General features: G+C 43.4%; 1 long non-coding RNA gene across 1 annotated transcript in view, besides 2 other annotated features; it reads right to left on the reverse strand.

Moving 5' to 3' along the window:
- The window catches only part of CTDP1-DT (CTDP1 divergent transcript), a 40,818-nt gene that overhangs the window by 6,809 nt on the left and 14,948 nt on the right, over positions 1 to 19,061 (reverse strand). The window contains exon 2 of the long non-coding RNA NR_136643.1: positions 14,903 to 15,068. This is a non-coding gene — a long non-coding RNA (CTDP1 divergent transcript). The remainder of the gene's footprint in view (positions 1 to 14,902; positions 15,069 to 19,061) is intronic.
- Positions 11,247 to 11,782: an enhancer, noted in NCBI's record as "H3K4me1 hESC enhancer chr18:77416983-77417518 (GRCh37/hg19 assembly coordinates)". NCBI's record gives its function as "activates a minimal SCP1, AML or CMV promoter by ChIP-STARR-seq in naive H9 embryonic stem cells {active_cell/tissue: H9 hESC(naive)}" and the evidence as "EXISTENCE:reporter gene assay evidence [ECO:0000049][PMID:30033119]".
- Positions 11,783 to 12,318: an enhancer, noted in NCBI's record as "H3K4me1 hESC enhancer chr18:77417519-77418054 (GRCh37/hg19 assembly coordinates)". NCBI's record gives its function as "activates a minimal SCP1, AML or CMV promoter by ChIP-STARR-seq in naive H9 embryonic stem cells {active_cell/tissue: H9 hESC(naive)}" and the evidence as "EXISTENCE:reporter gene assay evidence [ECO:0000049][PMID:30033119]".

Here is a 19,061-nt window from a genome sequence, read left to right on the forward strand (position 1 = left end):
AGGATTATTCAGCCCAAAATGTTACTAGCGCTGTGGTTGAGAGATCCGGAAACAGGCTGACCGCGAAGAGAGAGGAGGCACAGTTAGTAAGGCCGGTGATGAGAGGGAACATCACCACCTCGTGCTAAGGGAATGGTATGAGCAAACATATGCCAATAAAGACGAAATGCAAAAATGCCTAGAAAGACACAAATGGCCAAAACTGACTTGAGAAGAAATGGAAAATCCTAATAGGCCTACGACAAGTAAAGACATTTAAAAATCTTCCCAAAAGAAAAGCCCTGTCCCCAATGGCTTCATTGGTCGACTTTATCAAATATTTAAAGAAGAAAATAATACCAATTCTACACAACTTTTTCAGGAAAACAAAGAGTAAGTAATACTCCCCAATTCATTCTATGAGGCCAGGATCACCCTGATACCAAAGCCAGATTAAGCATTACAAGAAAACTTCACACCAATATCTTCCACAAACATAGATACAAAAACCCCTAACAAAATATTAGCAGACCAAATGCAACCACATATAAAATGGATTATAAACCAGGATCAATTAAAGTGTATCCCAGAAATCCAAGATTGGTTTAATATCTGCAAATCAGTTCATCAATAGATATGAAAAAATCATTAACAAAATCCAATACCTTTCATGATAAAAACTCACAGCAAACAAGAAAGAAGGAACGTCCTACATCTTTTAATGGACATGCACAAAAAACCTACAGCTAACATCATGGTTAATCACGAAAGACTGAGGGCTTCCCTCCTAAGATGTTAAACAAGACAAAACTGTCTGTTCTCACATTGTGCTGGAGGAGAAAAATAAATGTTAGAATTCATTAGTTTATTCACTTCCATGTAATGTACCAAGTAGACCTCAGGTGACAACTGTGCCACAGAACAGCTGGGAGGTGCCAGAAGCTCTCCGGCTGTGCCAGAAGAAGGGAGTGTTTAAATGAAAGTTGGGCTTGAAAATGTGAATCAGATTCACCCTAAAATGTTTTCTTTTCTTTTTTTTTTTTTTTTTTGAGTCAGTCTCGCTCTGTCACCCAGGCTGGAGTGCAGTGGCGCGATCTCAGCTCACTGCAAGCTCCGCCTCCCAGGTTCACACCATTCTCCTGCCTCAGCCTCCCAAGTAGCTGGGACTACAGGTGCCCGCCACCACACCTGGGTAATTTTTTTTTGTATTTTTAGTAGAGACGGGGTTTCACCATGTTAGCCAGGATGGTCTCGATCTCCTGACCTCGTGATCCGCCCACCTTGGCCTCCCAAAGTGCTGGGATTACAAGTGTGAGCCACTGCACCTGGCCTGTTTTCTTTTCTTAATGCCTGACTTGTAACAATAATTTCTCACATTGTGCTGGAGAAGTGGTGAGAACAGCCAGCCTTGTCTTGTTCAGCATCTTAGGAGGGAAGGCCTCAGTCTTTCATGATTAACTCCTTTCCAAGGAAGGAAGGAAGGGAGGGAGGGAGGCAGGAAGGAAAGGGGGAGGGAGGAAGGAAGGGAGGGAGGGAGGGAGGGAGGGAGGGAGGGAGGGAGGGAGGAAGGAAAGAAGAAAGGGAGGGAGGGAGGGAGGGAGGGAGGGAGGAAAGGGGGGAGGGAGGGAGGGAGGGAGGGAGGGAGGAAGGAAAGGAAGGAAGGAAAGGGGGGAGGGAGGGAGGGAGGAAAGGAGGGAGGGAGGAAGGGGAGGGGGGAGGGGAGGGGGAAGGGGAGGAGAGGGTTAAAACCATAAATACTGAAAAGAAGAAATAAAACTGTCTATTGGAGATGACCTAATCGTCTATGTAGAAACTCTTAAGAAATTTACAAAAAAGAGCCCTACTGAACTAATAAACAAGCTTATCAAGATTGTAAGATATAATATCATTACACAAAAATCAATTATATTTTATATAATATCAATAAACAACCTGAAAATTGAAAACAATTCCATTTACAATAGCATCAAAAATAATAAAATAGTATTAAATATAACAAGACATGCAATATTCGTTCACTGAAAGCTACAAAACATCACTGAGTTTTCATCAGCAAAAACCGCAAACATCGTAGAAGAGCAAAACCAATGGAGAGACATTTGTGCTCTTTGAAAGGTTCAATATTATTTACATATTGTCTCCACAAATTGCTGTGATTCAATGCAATCACTATCAATTTTTTTGTGGCAATTGCTTTTGTGGCAATTGACAAACTGAACTATTTATTTACATGGACCTGAAGAATCCAAAACAATTTTGAGAAAGAACAAAGTTGGAGAATGGATGCCACTGGATTTCAGACTTCCTATAAAGCTACAGGGATCAAGATCATCTGGTATCAGCATAAGGACAGACATAAAGATCAATGGAACAGAACTTGAAATTCCAGGATGCTCACGGTCTACAGTGTAAAATGCTGCACTTTAAGGCATCCCCTGAGAGCGATTTCTTTCTGTTAAGGACTCTCTCAAGTCCGGCCCACCCTCGGTTCTATCTTGTGCCGTCTGTCCATGGCTCCAATCCCTTCTCTGTTTTGAATCACATTAAGACAGTCATCTGGGGACCTGCTTCTTAGAAACTCTCTCCAGTGGCTGTAATGGAAACCTGGCAGTGATAAGAAAAGAAGCAAACTAGAAGGTAATTTGTACATAAATTGCAAGTGAAATTTATAGAGGAAGAATGTTTCCTCTAACACAACATTTTACGTTGTGTATTATGAAAATTTTCAAACATATGCGAAAGCACCAACAGTTCTCAGTCCCCCTGCACCCTCCAGCACCCTCGGTCCTCAGTCCCGCTGCCCTCCCCCCTCTAGCACCCTCGGTCCTCAGTCCCACCGCCCCCTCCAGCACCCTCGGTCCTCAGTCCTGCTGTCCTCCCCTCCCCAGCACCCTCGGTCCTCAGTCCCACTGCCCTCCCCCCTCTAGCACCCTCGGTCCTCAGTCCCACCGCCCCCTCCAGCACCCTCGGTCCTCAGTCCTGCTGTCCTCCCCTCCCCAGCACCCTCGGTCCTCAGTCCCGCTGCCCTCCCCCCTCTAGCACCCTCGGTCCTCAGTCCCGCTGCCCTCCCCCCTCTAGCACCCTGGGTCCTCAGTCCCGCTGCCCTCCCCCCTCTAGCACCCTCGGTCCTCAGTCCCGCTGCCCTCCCCCCTCTAGCACCCTTGGTCCTCAGTCCCGCTGCCCTCCCCTCTCCAGCACCCTCGGTCCTCAGTCCCACCGCCCCCTCCAGCACCCTCGGTCTTTTGTCCTGCAGCCCCCTCCAGCACACTCGGTCCTCAGTCCTGCTGTCCTCCCCTCTCCAGCACCCTCAGTCCTCCATCCCACCACCCTCTCCAGCACCCTCGGTCCTCAGTCCTGCAGCCCCCTCCAGCACACTCGGTCCTCAGTCCTGCTGTCCTCCCCTCCCCAGCACCCTCAGTCCTCAGTCCCGCTGTCCCCTCCAGCACCCTCAGTCCTCAGTCCCACTGCCCCCTCCAGCACCCTCAGTCCTCAGTCCCACTGCCCCCTCCAGCACCGTCAGTGCAGCACCATCTAATCTCGGTCATACCCACTAGTCCCTAAACCAGGTTACTTTGAAATAAATCTCAGGTATCATACTATTTCATCTCCAAATATTTCAGCATATATCTCTAAATGATAAGAATCTTCTTTAAGTAATATTCAAATAAGTCATCAGTTTTATGTTTTGGAATTATTTTTAAATAAACAGAAGAAATCCTCCCTTAAGTTGCATGGACAACCCACATTCAGCACTAAGCCTAGAGGTCTCCTTTAAAAGGCATTTTAAGACTCATCTGATGATTTAAAGTCAAATAAGTCCTATGCTTATTTTTCCAAAATATGTACTTTTTCCAGCTGCAAAGAATGCATTACAATACGCAATCGCAAATGGCCTGCTGCTGTATGGCCAGAACAAATGTGTTAGGAAAATAAATGTTAGAATGCATTAGTTTTTTCACTTCCATGTAATGTACCGAGTAGACCTCAGGTGACAACTGTGCCACAGAAGAGTTGGGAGGTGCCAGAAGCTCTCTGGCTGCACCAGACAAAGGGAATTTTTAAATGAAAGTTGGGCTTAGAAACACGAATCAGACTCACCCTAAAATATGTTTTCTTCTCTTAATGCCAGACTTCTCATAACAATTTCATAAATTAAACCTGAGCTGTATGGGAAGGCTCAAACAGCAAAACATTCAATGCCATCTCTCCCTGCTATAATTAAAAACACACCTGGTGAAAATTCTAAGACAAAACGGGATCCTTCTAACTCAGAGTCGCTAGAGTTACCACCACAATCAAATGCACCCTAGAAGCTTTTGGCGGTGTGTGCGCGTGGGCTCAGGGCTCGTGACCCTCTGTTCCGGCCCACGCTTCTGACCGGTGATTAGAAAGCGGCACGTTCTATCCTCGGCCCTGTCAGCCCTGCAGGGCGCACCAGCTGCTCTCACGGGCCACAGAATCACAGATGCGGTCCTCACCTCTCGGGAGCGGCCTTCTCCTAGACAGCACACGAGCCATCTACGTTTTCCCGGTTGTCTTTTTCATTCCAAAGTCCACATGTGCGCTACCACCTCCTTTAAAACATAAAAACAGAAAAGCAAAACGACGAAAAAGGTAGCAGTTCCCTTTAGCCACAGTGCAGCGCATTTGTTTTCATTATTCCTCCGTTTTACTGAGAGTAATGTGCCATCCAGACAAGCCCATGGGAGCGGTAAAAAGAGTCAGGGAATAGTCGATTGAGCTGGAACGGCCCCCATGCTCACGCACCTTATAGAGCAGATTCAACTGGCCTGTGTGTTAGGATGCACGGTGCAAACTGTTCTGACGGTAATCCATCATGGAATAGCATCTTCCATGCAGATGTACTTTTTGCTTATAGACACCTTGTCTTACGGAGCTCTCTCCCCACAATGACAAGATTCTGACAGTGGAGGCATCGCTTTCTCCGCGTCACATCAGCAGGGCCCCTCCACTCACGGGGACTTTCCACATTTTGCTCTTTTTCTCTGCCTCATGTATCGAAATAAAAGCAACCGCAAACACATGCCTCTTCTGGAATGCGTGCTCTGTCTCAAAACCCAGCCCAAAAGGAAGAAGAGGAGGAAGAGGAGGAGGAGGGGGAGGAAGAAACTGGTTTTCCCTGTTGGCCTATTTTATGCAGTTAAAAACACACCGAAGAAAAATCGGAGGGGATGTCTACTTATGGCAGTAAGGCAGGCCAGACACTTGGAAGGGTCCTCACCAACAAAACCATCCGATCCTGCCTGAGACTTGGTTTTCCTGCCAGTATTGGGCTTGAATGAAATAAGGGACTTCTTCAAGGCTCCCTTCGTGACCTGAATTCAGAGGAGGGAAATCCCATAATGAAATGGAAAAGGTGAGGTTGCCCTGGGAGGACTTGCCACATCAGAGCCACCTAAAGGTTGTCTGGGCCAGGAGGTGAGCTGGGGCTCCAGGCCCAGCAGAGGAGGCAAATGTGCTCCCCACTGGGGTCCCCAGCTTGAGCCAGTAGTAAACACCACCGGGTTCTCACAGAGTGACATCAGGCAAACCTGAGCTCACGGCCAAAGAGCAGCAAACACACGCAGAGGAACGCGTCCGTGAGCAAAAGTCAGCACGCACGACCCGAACACAAAACAGACTCAGACCCGCAGAGGCACCAAAATTAGAGGTTAGAGCTGGAGAAATTGTGCAGAATGCATAACAGAAAAACAGGGAGGCAAAAAATATTTGAAAGATTAAGAGGAAGAGATTATAGAATAAGGTCTAACGAATATCTATTCATAGTTCTAGGAAGTGAGACCAAAAAGGAAGAGGGAAAAATGATTAATTAAAGAGATGATGCTTGAAAACCTGCAAGAATTGATGAGAGTCGTGAATACACAATAAATTCCAAACAGAGTAAATAAAAAGAAATCCACCCATAGACACATGCAAGAAATCCACCCATAGACACTTCCATTGACATGCAAGAAAATGTCAGAACACTGAGGCCAGGCACGGTGGCTCACGCCTGTACTCCCAGCATTTCGGGAGGCTAAGGCGGGTGGATCACCTGAGGTCAAGGGTTTGAGACCAGCCTGGCCACCATGGTGAAACCTTGTCTGTGCTAAAAATACAAAAATTAGCTGGGCATGGTCGCGGGCACCTGTAATCCCAGCTACCTGGGAGGCTGAGGCAGGAGGCTAAGGTTGCAGTGAGCCAAGATCGCTCCATTGCACTCCAGTCTGGGCGACAAGAGCGAAAACTCCGTCTCAAAAAAGAAAAAAAAAAAATTCAGGGCACCGAAGACAAACAGAAGACAGATCACCTATAAAGCCAACAATAAGACTAACAGATTTTATTTTCTTCTTTTTTTTTTTTGTTTTGGTTTTATTCAAGACAGAGTCTTGCTCTGTCACCCAGGTTGGAGTCCAGTGGCACAGTCTTGGCTCACTGCAACCTCCACCTCACAGGTTCAAGCCATTCTCATGCCTTGGCCTCCCGAGTAGCTAGGATTACAGGAGTGTGCCATTATGCCTGGCTAATTTTTGTATTTTCGGTAGAGACAGGATTTCACCATGTCGGCCAGGCTGGTCTTGAACTCCTGACCTCAGGTGATCCACCCTCCTCGGCCTCCCAAAATGTTGGGATTACAGGCGTGAGCCACTGTGCCATGCCCAGATTTTCGACAGCAAAAATAGAAACTGGAATCCAGTGGAATCATGTCTTCTAAAAACAAATTGTCATTCTACTGCTGTCTACCCAAACCGTCTTTCCACAATGAGAGCAAATAAAACATTCTCAAAGAAACAGAAACTGAGAGTTAAACTCCAATAAAACTTTCCTAAAGGAGTTCTAAAGAATGTTCTCTAAGCAGGTGGAAACTAATCCCATAAGGGCATGATAGACTTATGCATAACATCGTGTGGTGTGTAGCATGTATTATGCAGCGTGTATTACGTAGCGTGTATTACGCAGCATTACGTAGCGTGTATTACGTAGCGTGTATTACACAGTGCGTATTACGCAGCGTGTATTACGCAGCGTGTATTACGTATAGATTACATATTCTATAACTATTTTAGATGTCTGTTAGATATGCATTGTTTTAGTAGAACCAGTTCCTTTACATTGAGATAGATCTTTTTCCTAATAAATTGTTACTTTAAAAAAGGAAGTTATAAAATATCAGATGAAATGACAAACAAATAAATTGTTAAATATATGTTAAATCTAAACAAACACTGTCTATAAGATAATAACCACAATATCTAACTTAGGAGTTTTAAAAGTTATAGAGCTAAAATATTGAACAATGTTAGTTTGAAAGTCTGGAGAAGAGTGTTCTAAGGTTTATGTTGTTGAGAAGGAAACTGAAGTATTAAACTTAAATTTATTATGTTAGAAATGCAAAGTAAAATTTCAATGGCAATCACCAAAAGAACAACAATGAAGTGAACACAAATTTTTAAAATAGACAAAAAAGCAGATCTCCATAGATTCCCAAAGGAAAAGTGTGTAACAGAGGAGAAAAAATACATACACACGCACATATATATATAGAGAGAGAGAGAGAGACAGAGAGAGGGAGGGAAGACACACACACACAAGCAAAGTTGATAAAACCGCAGGCGAAATTGGCAAATGCACTTTTAAAGTGAGAGATTTTGACACATCTCTTTAGACTACTGCTTTTTCAATTAGAAAAAAAGTAAACATATAGTAAATTTGAATAACACATTCAACAAGCTTAATTTATTAGATAGACATAGAATGCTGAACCAAATCAGAAAATAATACACATTCCTTTGAAGCAAATATTAACCATATACTACTGGGCTTTATGCTAACTGCATTAAATTTCAGAATAATAGTATCATACATTTTATGTTATCTAACCATAGTGCAATTAATTTAGAAATCAACAATACAAAGATAAAGAAATTTCCTATACATTTGGAAATTTTAAGATGTACTTTGAACTAACTCCTTCATCAAAGAAAAAGATTGCGATAGAAATAAAGCCATACTCGAATGATTGACTATTTTGAAACTTGTGAGAGGAAGCAAAAGTGAGATCTAGTAGGGCATTTATAGCTCTGAGATTTGATTCAAATGAACACAGGCTTAAAATTAATGAGCTAAACATCCAATTTAAGATGATGAAAAAGAACAATAATGAATCCAAAGAAATTGGCAAATTCCTAGAAAATATAATTTCCAAAAGTGAAACATCTCATTTTGAGATGAGACAGGTCTAAACAGACATTTAACTATGAAAGAAATCTAATCAGTAAATTAAAATTTTCCCACAAAGAAATACCAAGACAAGAAAGGCTTAAAGTTATATCAAACATTTTAAAAAGGTCATCCCACACTTATAAAAATGCTTTCAAAAATGGAATTAGAGACAGAAAAGAGGAAAGCTTCCCAACTCATTCTATAAGCCCAATACACCTTTGATTTCCAATTCAGCAAGGATAACACAAGAGAGGAACACAGGCGTTTCTCACTTGTAAACATGGCCATAAAAAGATTAAGTCAAATATTAGCTAACTACAAATCTACTTATGGAATTGGGTTTATCCCAGAAATACATAACTGAATCTGGTTTTAGAAACAGAATAATGTATACATTACACATATGCAAATATATGTATTTCCCTGTCTTAACAAAATGAAAGAGAAAAACCATATGGTCATCTCAACAGAGGCAGACAACCATTTGATATTATTCTAAAACAGTCATAAAAATCTTTTAGAAGACTAGGGATGAACTGAAGTTTCTTTAACCTGAGAAAAGACAGGCCAGAAAAACCCTTAGCATAAATCTTTCCTGATGGAGAAATGTCGGAAACTTTCCCTTTACCATCTGGAATAAGACAAGGAGACCCACTATAACTGATTCTGTTAATCACTGCACTATGGGGCTAAACTACCCACAGCAATGCAAGAAAAGAAAGAAAAGCTACAAAACTTGGAAGGGAAGCATAAAACAATCATCATTCATAAATGATATGTGTTTTTACCATGGAAACTGCAAATAATCTACCGATATACTATTAGAAATAAAAGATCTTAGTAAGGTGAGTGCGTGGCGCCAGTTCATGAAAATCCACTGCAGTTCTGTAAGCCAGCAGCAATCAGCCGGAAAACGGCAGTTTTTAAAAAGCTATCGTGTGCAATAGCAACAGAAAATAAAGTAACCAGGAATAAATACAAAACAAAAATGAGCAAGTGCTATACGGAGAAAATCATAAAACCTTATTGGAGGACTTTGAAATGGACCTAAGCAAGTGAAATGGTAGACCAAGTTGACAGATGGGAAAATTCAAATCACAAAACTGCCAGTTCTCCTCAGAGCGACTTAGATTCCACACAGCCCTGTTAAGGCCCTAACAGGTTTTATCAATAAACTTGACACATTAATTCTACAAGTTATGAAACAACAAATACCAAGAACAGCCACAAAACTTCTGAAGAAACTTCTAAAGAATCGTGGGGCCCTGGCCCTCCCAGATGTCATGACTTACGGAGCTCTAGCAATTCCAACAGCGCAGTAGAAGCCAGAATAGAAAATCTGGCCTGGCCGGTGCGTGGCTCACGCCTGTCATCCCAGCACTGTGGGAGGCCAAGGTGGGCGGATCACCTGAGGTCAGGAGTTCGAGACCAGCCTGGCCAACATGGTGAAACCCCGTCTCTACTAAAAAATACAAAAAAATTAGCCAGGCTTGGTGGCACATGCCTGTAGTCCCAGCTACTCGGGAGGCTGAGGCAGGAGAATCACTTGAATGAGGGAGGCAGAGGTTGCAGTGAACTGAGATCACGCCACTGCACTCCAGCCTGGGCAACAAAGCAAGACCCTGTCTCAAAAAAAAAAAAAAAAAAAAAACAGAGACTGGTATATATCAGAGATGACATCACAGATCAAAGAGAACAGAAGTTTTTCAATATATAGTGCTGGGACAATTGGTTATTCATATGGAAAATGAATTGGATTCCTGCCTTACATCATATATGAAACATCCATTTCTTATTAAGTAAATGGTTAGCTGTGAAGGGCAAATTTCATACATTTTAAAAGTATAAAAGGAAGATATCTTTAAAATCCTCATGTTAGGGAAGGCATTCTTAAAATTAACAGCTTCTGTTCATCAAAGTGTCTCAGAAAGAAAATGAAAAAGACAAACACAAAATTGGTAGACAACATGAGTAACATATAAACAATAAAATACTTTCCTTCAGAAGCCACAGGGAACTACTACAAATCAGTAATAAAAAGACAAACACCCCAACAGAAAAATGAGCAACAAACATGAACAGGCATTTCACAGGAAAAAAAACTCAAATGGCAGATAAAAAATAGAAAAATAAGCTAAACCATATGGTCATTAGGAGACTGACAATCAGAACTACAAGTTTTCATTTTAACACAGGTTTTTACTTGGCATGGCAGAGACCAAGTTGGATAACATAGACTTGTTGAGGATGTGGATGGAAAGTAACTCCTTTGTTGCTGGTGGGATTATAAATTAAAACAACCATTTCAAAAAATTGGTTGTCACTTCATTCATCTGAACATTTGCACACTCTATGATTCTGCAGTCCCCTCCACACACACACCCTCCTCCACACGCACACCCTCCGGAGGCTTTAACTCAGGTGCACCAAGAATCATACAGAATGTTCGCTGCAGTACTTCCCATGAAAGCAACTAAATGTCCATGTATAAAGACTCAGGAACACATTCTGTTACACCAAATGTCCATGTATAAAGATGGCATGAACACGTTCTGTTACAGCCACGTAATAGGATATTATACAGCAATCCCAATCAACAAACCACAGCCAAACAAAATCATTTAGAGGAAGATGCAGATACACAATGATTAGTGCAACAACCATCACTGAAGAATATATATGATGCTATTTTTATAAACCTCAGAAACAAGCCAAACTAAACAATATCTTTGTATGTGTATATATATATATATCTTTGTATATGTGTGTGTGTGTATATATATATCTTTGTATGTGTGTGTGTATATATATATATATATATATATATACTCATGCAATAAAACACCATAGAAAAGGAACATGATCAACACCAGGTTGAGGCTGGTGGATCTGCTGGTGGGGAAGCAAAGGGCAGAGTGGGATGGGGAGCTCTCCAGCGGTTGTTGTGATGTTGGTGACACCCTGGATTTCAGGTCAGCTGATGGGCTCATTGTAGGGTTAGGCTTCATAGCTCACCCAATATGTTACACACAGTCTGCTCTGTACTGTATGGGGAGCCTGGAAGCTGGAAACCCTGGAGAAAAGTGGCCACACTCAGCACCTGGCCAGGCCTGAGGACCCGGGGCTGTGAAAGAAGCTAGGCCAGGGAGGCTGTGAGGGATGGCAGGATGGAGATGGCGGCCAAGGAAACAGAGGCGGGGGTCAGAGAACACGGGGGTTCCACACTCCTCCTTGAGAGGTCTGAGTCCAGGAGGGCTTTGTGATACTGAGAAAAAGGAGGCGAGGTAAATGACAATGGCAGTCCTCTGACTCCGGACCGCGTTGTTCAGTTGGCCTGATCCCAAGTGAAACAGCATTGCCGTCCACCGTGCCCTTGGTCCACAGAAGAGCGGCAGGTGTAGCTGCTCCGTGGGCCAGTGGGAGGGTGGGATGTCTGCGTGGGGATGACCAGACAGGGCCGCCCTGGTCTCAGCTGCAGAGCCTCCTGGCCCAGACCTCGCCCTGCACAGAGAAGGCCGGCAAGACTGCACTCCCTGCTGCTCTGTCCACAAAAGGTTGGCAGGGAACTCCCGCTGAGACAGAAGAGACCTGCTTTTGTTTTGCCCCAGCCTGCAGTGGCTCCAAGTTATGCCAAAATGAAACCACGTCAGTCACAGAGAGCCCACAGGTCGGCGCCAGCAGCTTCTTTCACTCGTGAAAGCAGCAAGGCCAGCAGAGGTGATACCCTGGGAGGATTGAGTCTTCCTTCCAGCAGGACACTTTAACACCCTGGGCCTAATGCACCGATTCTTACCCGGTGCTTTTCACTGGCGTCCTTGCCATTTTCCCCCAGCAACGTGCATCCCAGCTGCATCTCAGGAGAGACGGAGGAAGGTCCGGGCTCACGCGCATCCCAGCTGCGGCCCAGGTGAGGTGGAGGAAGGCCCTGCTCATGTTGCCCTCACCACTACCTGCTGAGGGAGCGAGTTTCTGGGAGTGATATCTTGAGCCTCTTCTGCTTGATCTCCTGGGAGGGCTCATCCGTTCAGGTCCACAGGACATTTTAAAGAGCTCCCTGTGCGATCGTGAGGTATATTGAAGTTTAAGAACCACTACTTCAGGAGGTTTGTGCTATTATAAGGCCAATATTCTGCTCTATTTTATGTTCTATAAATGTGAATTTTATACTTTGGATTTTCTAAAAGAAGGACATGTGTTCTTATGTTGTTTATCAATATACTAAAAATATTAGAATAAAAACAACACGTGGAAATGGCTGCTTTAAATGTCTAAGATGCTCACCCCAACAAACTGGCAACGGCTACTGCTGCAGTTCCAAACCACGGCAATAAAGTGAGTATCACAATAAAGCAAGTCACATGCATCATTCTGGTTTCCTGGTGCTTTATAAAATTATGTTTACACTATACTGTAGTCTTATTAACTGTGAAATACCATTATGTCTTAAAAAATGCACATGCCTTAATTGAAAACTAATTTATTGCTAAAAAATGACGACCGTCTGCCCCTTCAGTGAGTCCAAATCTCTTGCTGCTGGAGGGTCTTACCTCAGTGCTGACAGCTGCTGACTGATCAGGGTGGTGGCAGCTGACGGCTGGGGTGGCTGTGGCAATTTTTAAAAATAGGACAGCAGCGAACTTTATCGTGTTGATCAACTCTTGCTTTCACGAGAGTGTGATGCCGATGGACAGCGTTTTACCCACAGCAGAGCTTTGTTCAGAATCAGTTAATCTGCTCACACCCTGCCGCTGCTTTATCAACTCGTTTACGGAATATTCTAAATTCTTTGTTTCATTTCAACAATCTTCACCGTGTCTTCATCAGGAGCAGATTTCATCTCAAGAAACCACTTTCTTTGCTCGTCCAGAAGCAGCAGCCCCTCGTCCGTCCAAGTTTCATCCTGAGATTGCAGCAGTTCAGTCCCATCTTCAGGCCCCGTCTAATCGTCTAATTCTAGTTCTCTTGCTATTTCCACCACGTCTGAAGTTATTTCCCCCACTAAAGCCTCAAACTCCCCAAAGTTATCCCTGAGGGCTGGAATCAACTTCTTCTAAACCCCTGTTAATGTTGATATTTTGACGTCCTCCCATAAATCATGAATGTTCCTAATGGCATGTAAAATGATGAATTCCTTTCAGAAGGTTTTCAATTGACTTTGCCTAGATTCATCAGAGGAATAAACTATAGCCTTAGAAAACGTATTTCTGAAATAATAAGACTTGAAAGTCAGAATCATTCTGGATCCTTGGGCTGCGGGGTGGATGTGGTGTCAGCAGCATGAAAACAACATTCCTCTCCTGTACGTCTCCATCAGAGCTCTTGGGTGACCATGAGCAGGAATTTTTCTGAAAAGAATCTCTCTTTCTGAGCAACAGGTCTCAAGAGTGGACTTAGAACATGCGGTAAGCCATGCTGTGGACAGAGGTGCTGTCATCCAGGCTTCGTTGTTCCGCGGATGGAGCACAGGCAGAGGAGATTTAGCATCATTCTTAAGGGCCCTGGGATTTTCAGAATGGCAAATGAGCACTGGCTTCAACATTAGCCCCTAGCAAGGGGGTCAGCCTGTCCTTTGAAGCTTTGAAGCCAGGCGCTGACTTCTCCTCTCCACCTATGAAAGTCCTAGACGGCATCTTCTTCCGATAGAAGGCTGTTTATCTGCATGTAAAATCTGTTGTTTAGTGCAGCCTCCTTCATCAGTGGTCTCAGCTGGGTCTTCTGGGGAACTTGCTGCAGCTTCTCCACCAGCAGCTGAGGCTTCACCTTCACTTTTATGTTACAGAAACGGCTTCTTTCCTTCAACCTCATGAATGAACTTCTGCTGGTTTCCAACCTTTCTTCTTTCTGAAGAAAGTGGAGAGAGGCAGCTTCCTCGCCTCTCCAGCCTTCATGGAGTTGAAGGGAGTTAAGGCCTCCATCTAGATGAGGCTGTGGCTTCAGGGAGTATCACGGCTGGTTTGATGTTCTATCTAAACCACTGAAATTTTCTCTGTATTAGCAATAAGGCTGTTTTACTTTCTTATCGTTTGTGTTCACTGGAGTCGCACTTTTAATCTCCTTCAAGAACTTGTCCTTTGCATTCACAATTAGGCTAACCATTTGGTGTAAGAAGCCTAGCTTTTGGCCTATCTCGGCTTCTGATGTGCCTTCCTCACCAAGCTTAATCATTTCTAGCTTTTGATTTAAAGTGAGGTACCTGGAACTCTTCCTTTCAGTGAAATGTGTAGAGGACATTGTAAGGTTATTAACTGGCCAGATTTTAATATTGTTCTGTCTGAAGGAATAGGGAGGCTGAGGACAGGAGAGAGACGGGAACGCCGGGTCAGGGGAGCTGTCAGAACACAATTAATTTTGGTGTCTCACGTGGGCAGTTACGGTGCTCCAAAACAATTGCAGTAGTAACATCAAAGATCACTGATGACAGATCACCATAGGTGATAAAAATGAAAAAGTTTGGACTGTGAGGATTACCAAAATGTGACACAGAGACACGAAGTGGGCAGGAGCTGTTGGGAAAACGGTGCCAACCGACTTGTTCAAGGCAGAGTTGCCACAAATTCAATTTGTGCAAAATGCAGTATCTTTGAGCACAATAAAGTCAAATGCAATAAGATGCCTGTGTATGGCAACCAGTTTGAGAACTATTTCACGGCGCACTGGTAACTGACTGTACTTAGAAGCTGCCGGTTTTGACAGAGCTCACCTGTGAAGTGGTGATGGCTGCCTCGCCGGGGCCCAGGACCTGGGCGTGGCCGGGAGCTCCCTCCCGGGGTCTTTCTTGGGCTCCAGGACCTGCAGAGTGTAAGCTGCAGTTCGGTGGACAAGCATGGCCAGGACAGATTGTGCTCCTGGGGACTGGGCGCCTTCCCCTAGAAAATCAGTGATGTAGGAAACAGCTGTATTAGTTGTGAGTGACCTCAGCGAGCGTGGTTCTCAGCAGTCCTGTGAGAGGCAATGCTACCCTCCCATTTATATTTTTAAAAAGAATAACCTGGTGGGGCTTTTAAGCTTTTGGGATAAAATAAAACAGGAAAAGAAACAGCTTTTCTTGATAAGACCGATACATACCCCAGGTCTTCCTCCCTGAAAGTGTGACCATTGTTGAGAGGTTGAAAGAGAATGGCCTGCACCACATCCGATGACCGTTCAGCTTCCCTCCTTCCTGTAAAAGCTTCCACGGCATTTGGCGAGACTCCTCCACGTGCTATCCCGTCCTTTCACTCAGTGAAAATGAGTGAAAATGGCTGGGAACAGAGGCTCATGCCTGTAATCCCTGCACTTTGGGAGGCCGAGGCGGGTGGATCTCCTGAGGTCAGGAGTTTGAGACCAGACTGGCCAACATGGTGAAACCCCGTCTTTACTAAAAATACAAAAATTAGCCGGGCATGGTGGTGCACACCTGGGTGTAATCCCAGCTACCCAGGAGACTGAGGCAGGAGACTCACTTGAACCCGAGGGGCAGAGGTTGCAGTGAGCCAAGATCACGCCAGTGCACTCCAGCCTGAGTGACAAGAGAGAGACTCCATCTCAAAAAAAAGAAAAAAAACTCAAAAACCTAGTTGTAAAATGTAAATTTGAAGGCACCTGTAGTATTGTAACATAGACTGTTTCTCACAGGTTAATTTTGGTGGAGGCATAAAAGTCATTAGAATCAAAATGAAGGCACTTGTGTTAGAAAAACAAACAAACAAAAAGCCCCCACGAATGGAGCCAGTGAACGCCGTGAAGGGAGTGTTCCCACATCCATCGAATAACAAAAAATATGATAGAAGACGCTGCAAAACCCAAAACCTTGCACAAAGACCAGCACAACCTTACACAAAAAATACTTCTGCAAGGATGTCTGCCCAGCACCTGCCTGTCCAACCTTGGACTGGCATCACCCTTGCTATTGATCTTTGTAGCCCGGAATAATTCTTTCAAACTAATTCTGTCATCCTCCGAATTTTCCCTTTAGAACCCTTTGTCTTCCTTTACCCGAATATGCACGTAATTTACTGTGGCATGTGTATTCCCATTTCAATGTTCTATTCTTGAATAAGTTACTTCTTCTTTGAGTGAGCCTCTCTCTGTTACTTCGACTGATACATATGGTGTCAGAAATGGGACTAGGAAAATATCACCATCGGAAGAAATCATTTTTACTCCCATTTTTTGGAGCCGTTGTGCAGTATTTACTCCAGCTGTTTGAGTTCTTCATTTCCACAGCTTGATTTTTCACCCTGGCGAGTCCTTTCTCAGGCTGAGCCTTTCTCTTTGTGCTGGAGGCTTTTTGATGCTACTCAGAATGTGACTTGGATGAGGCTGCCTTGATAAAGGACCACACATCCAGCCCGAGATGATAAACAGCCTTTTTGTCTTTTCTGCTAAGTCCTTTCTGGTACAAAGGCATAAATCTTTCTGGGTTGAATGCTCTGATTTGTACAGAATTAACATTCTCTCTGTAAGGCATGTGTTTACTTGTGAATTCACTTTTGATCTGCATGCCTGGTTTAACATTTTGTTCTATGTGGACACCTAGGTTAAAATTTTTGTGAACACTCTTACCTTGGTTCCTTTTGACTTGATTTGAGTCTTTCCCCTTGATGGTTTTTAAAAATCTTCTGAGAACAAAAATAAACATTCTAAATGGTGAGTGCAGAATTGCTAACTAAAGGCCATCAGGGCAGCCACCGCCATCTCAAACATGGTCTAAACTCCTGACATTCCCTGGCTGGATTTGCAGATTTTCTTTGCTCTCAAGAGATTAATAAGAATTGAATGAGATTCTAACACATTAAGGTATGCCTGGTGTGCTGGGATTCCAGCCAGTTACATATTGTGGCCCATTCTCATGCACATTTTTTAAGTGATTGGCAAAATGACACCAAGGAAAATTCAGAGCTCAATGGCCATTATTTGAACTCTCTAAAAAAGCAACCCTCTCAAAAAAACAACCTTGGGGCAATAGAGTTAACATGGAGTCTTCTAAGGTCTGTATCTCTCCCCCAACTTTTTTTTTTTTTTTTTTTTTTTTTTTGCCTATTTTGAATTTTCTGACTCTTCTGCTGGGTTGAGATGAAACTCACTGCTTATGGCATTCTAGCCAAGATTTTTTTCAAAGTCTTAAAGGGCTTTCAAATTAACGGCTTTAGAAATTCCGACAGCTCCATGGTAACCAACAACCTAGACACCTTTTAGAGACATCAATTTAGGTTTGACTGACTAACAATTGCTTATGGTGATGGAGCACTAAATTGAAAAATTAATAATCTAAAAGAAAAGGAACTACATATTCATAAATGTTTATAAAAGTTAGGCTCTCAGATTACAGAGGTCAAAAGCTGGAGCACAGAGCAATAATGTAAGGTATCTCTGTCCAGCATAAAAATTGTATTACTTTTTCTGCCATGCAGAGTCCAAAAAGAAAAAGCCAAAAACAAAATAAAACCAAAACCCTGCTGCAATGCTTCCTGCCCACATCTCTAACCAAGCAAACAAGACCAGCAACCAAAAGACATTTGCTGCTAGTTCAAGTCTTCTTGGAGATTCTTATACAATGCAGTCAATCCTAGCTAAAATGTTTTTTTTTCTTTTATAGATAGATATAGATCTAGATACACATACAGATACAGATATATAGATAGATATAGATATAGATATAGATATATAGATACAGGGTCTTGCTCTGTTACCCAGCCTAGAGTACAGTGTTACAATCATGGCTCACTGCAGTCTTGACCTCCCGGGCTCAAGTGATCCTCCTGCCTCAGCTTCCCAAGTAGGTGGGACTACAGACATGCACCACCAGACATGACTAGTTTTGTTGTCGTTTTATAGAGATGGGGTTTCAATCTATTGCCCAGGCTGGTGTAGAACTCCTGAGCTCAAGTAATTCACCTGCCTTAATTCACCTGCCTCAGACTCCAAAAGGGTTTGGATTACAGGCATAAGCCACCATGCCTGGCCCACCTAGCTAAAATGTAAACAGTTGAAAATTTAGCCCTAACCTCATTTGAAAATGAAAAAAAAAAAAAAAGAAAGAAGTGGGTGGGGGTAGAAATGGCGTTTTTCATTTTTATTTTTAAACTGCATGGAAACTGTTTACCCAAAATTTTGGTCCAGAGCCTTCATTAGATTTCCTACCAGGGTAAGTAGCACAAAACCAAAAATCTTGGTCCCCTATTGTATTAGTCCATTCTCGCACTGCTATAAAGATACTACCTGAGACTGGGTAATTTGTAAAGAAATAAGGTTTAAGTGACTCACAGTTCCTCATGGCTGGAGAGGCCTCAGGAAACTTACAGTCATGGCAGAGGGGAAGAGGCATGTCTTACATGGTGGCAGGTGAGAGAGAGAAGCAAGAGCAGGGAAACTGCCTGATAAAACCATCAGAGCTCCTGAGAATGCACTCACTATCACAAGAATAGCACGGGGAAAACTGCCTCCATGATCCAACCACCTCCCACCGGGTTCTTCCCTCAACATGTGGGATTATAGGGATTATAATTGGAGTAGAGATTTGGGTGGGGACACAGAGCCAAACCATATCACCTAGGGATTACAACTGGAGTGGAGATTTGGGTGGGGACACAAAGCCAAACCATATCACCTAGGGATTACAAATGGAGTGGAGATTTGGGTGGGGACACAGAGCCAAACCATATCACCTATGTTAGAACAAGGTTTTCTTAAAGTATTGATTTGCCCTTAGGAAAATTGCAAGAGGTTTTGATGTTTAATCCTGAAATGTTTCTTTTTTTCCCATTTTTTGTAGAGATGGGGGGGTCTTCCTATGTTGCCCAGGCTAGTCTCGAACTCCTGGGCTCAAGCAATCCTCCTGCCTTGGCCTCCCAGAGTGCTGGGATTACAGGCATGAGCCA

Source organism: Homo sapiens, chromosome 18, assembly GCF_000001405.40.
Source record: "Homo sapiens chromosome 18, GRCh38.p14 Primary Assembly".
Classification (NCBI taxonomy): domain Eukaryota; kingdom Metazoa; phylum Chordata; class Mammalia; order Primates; family Hominidae; genus Homo; species Homo sapiens.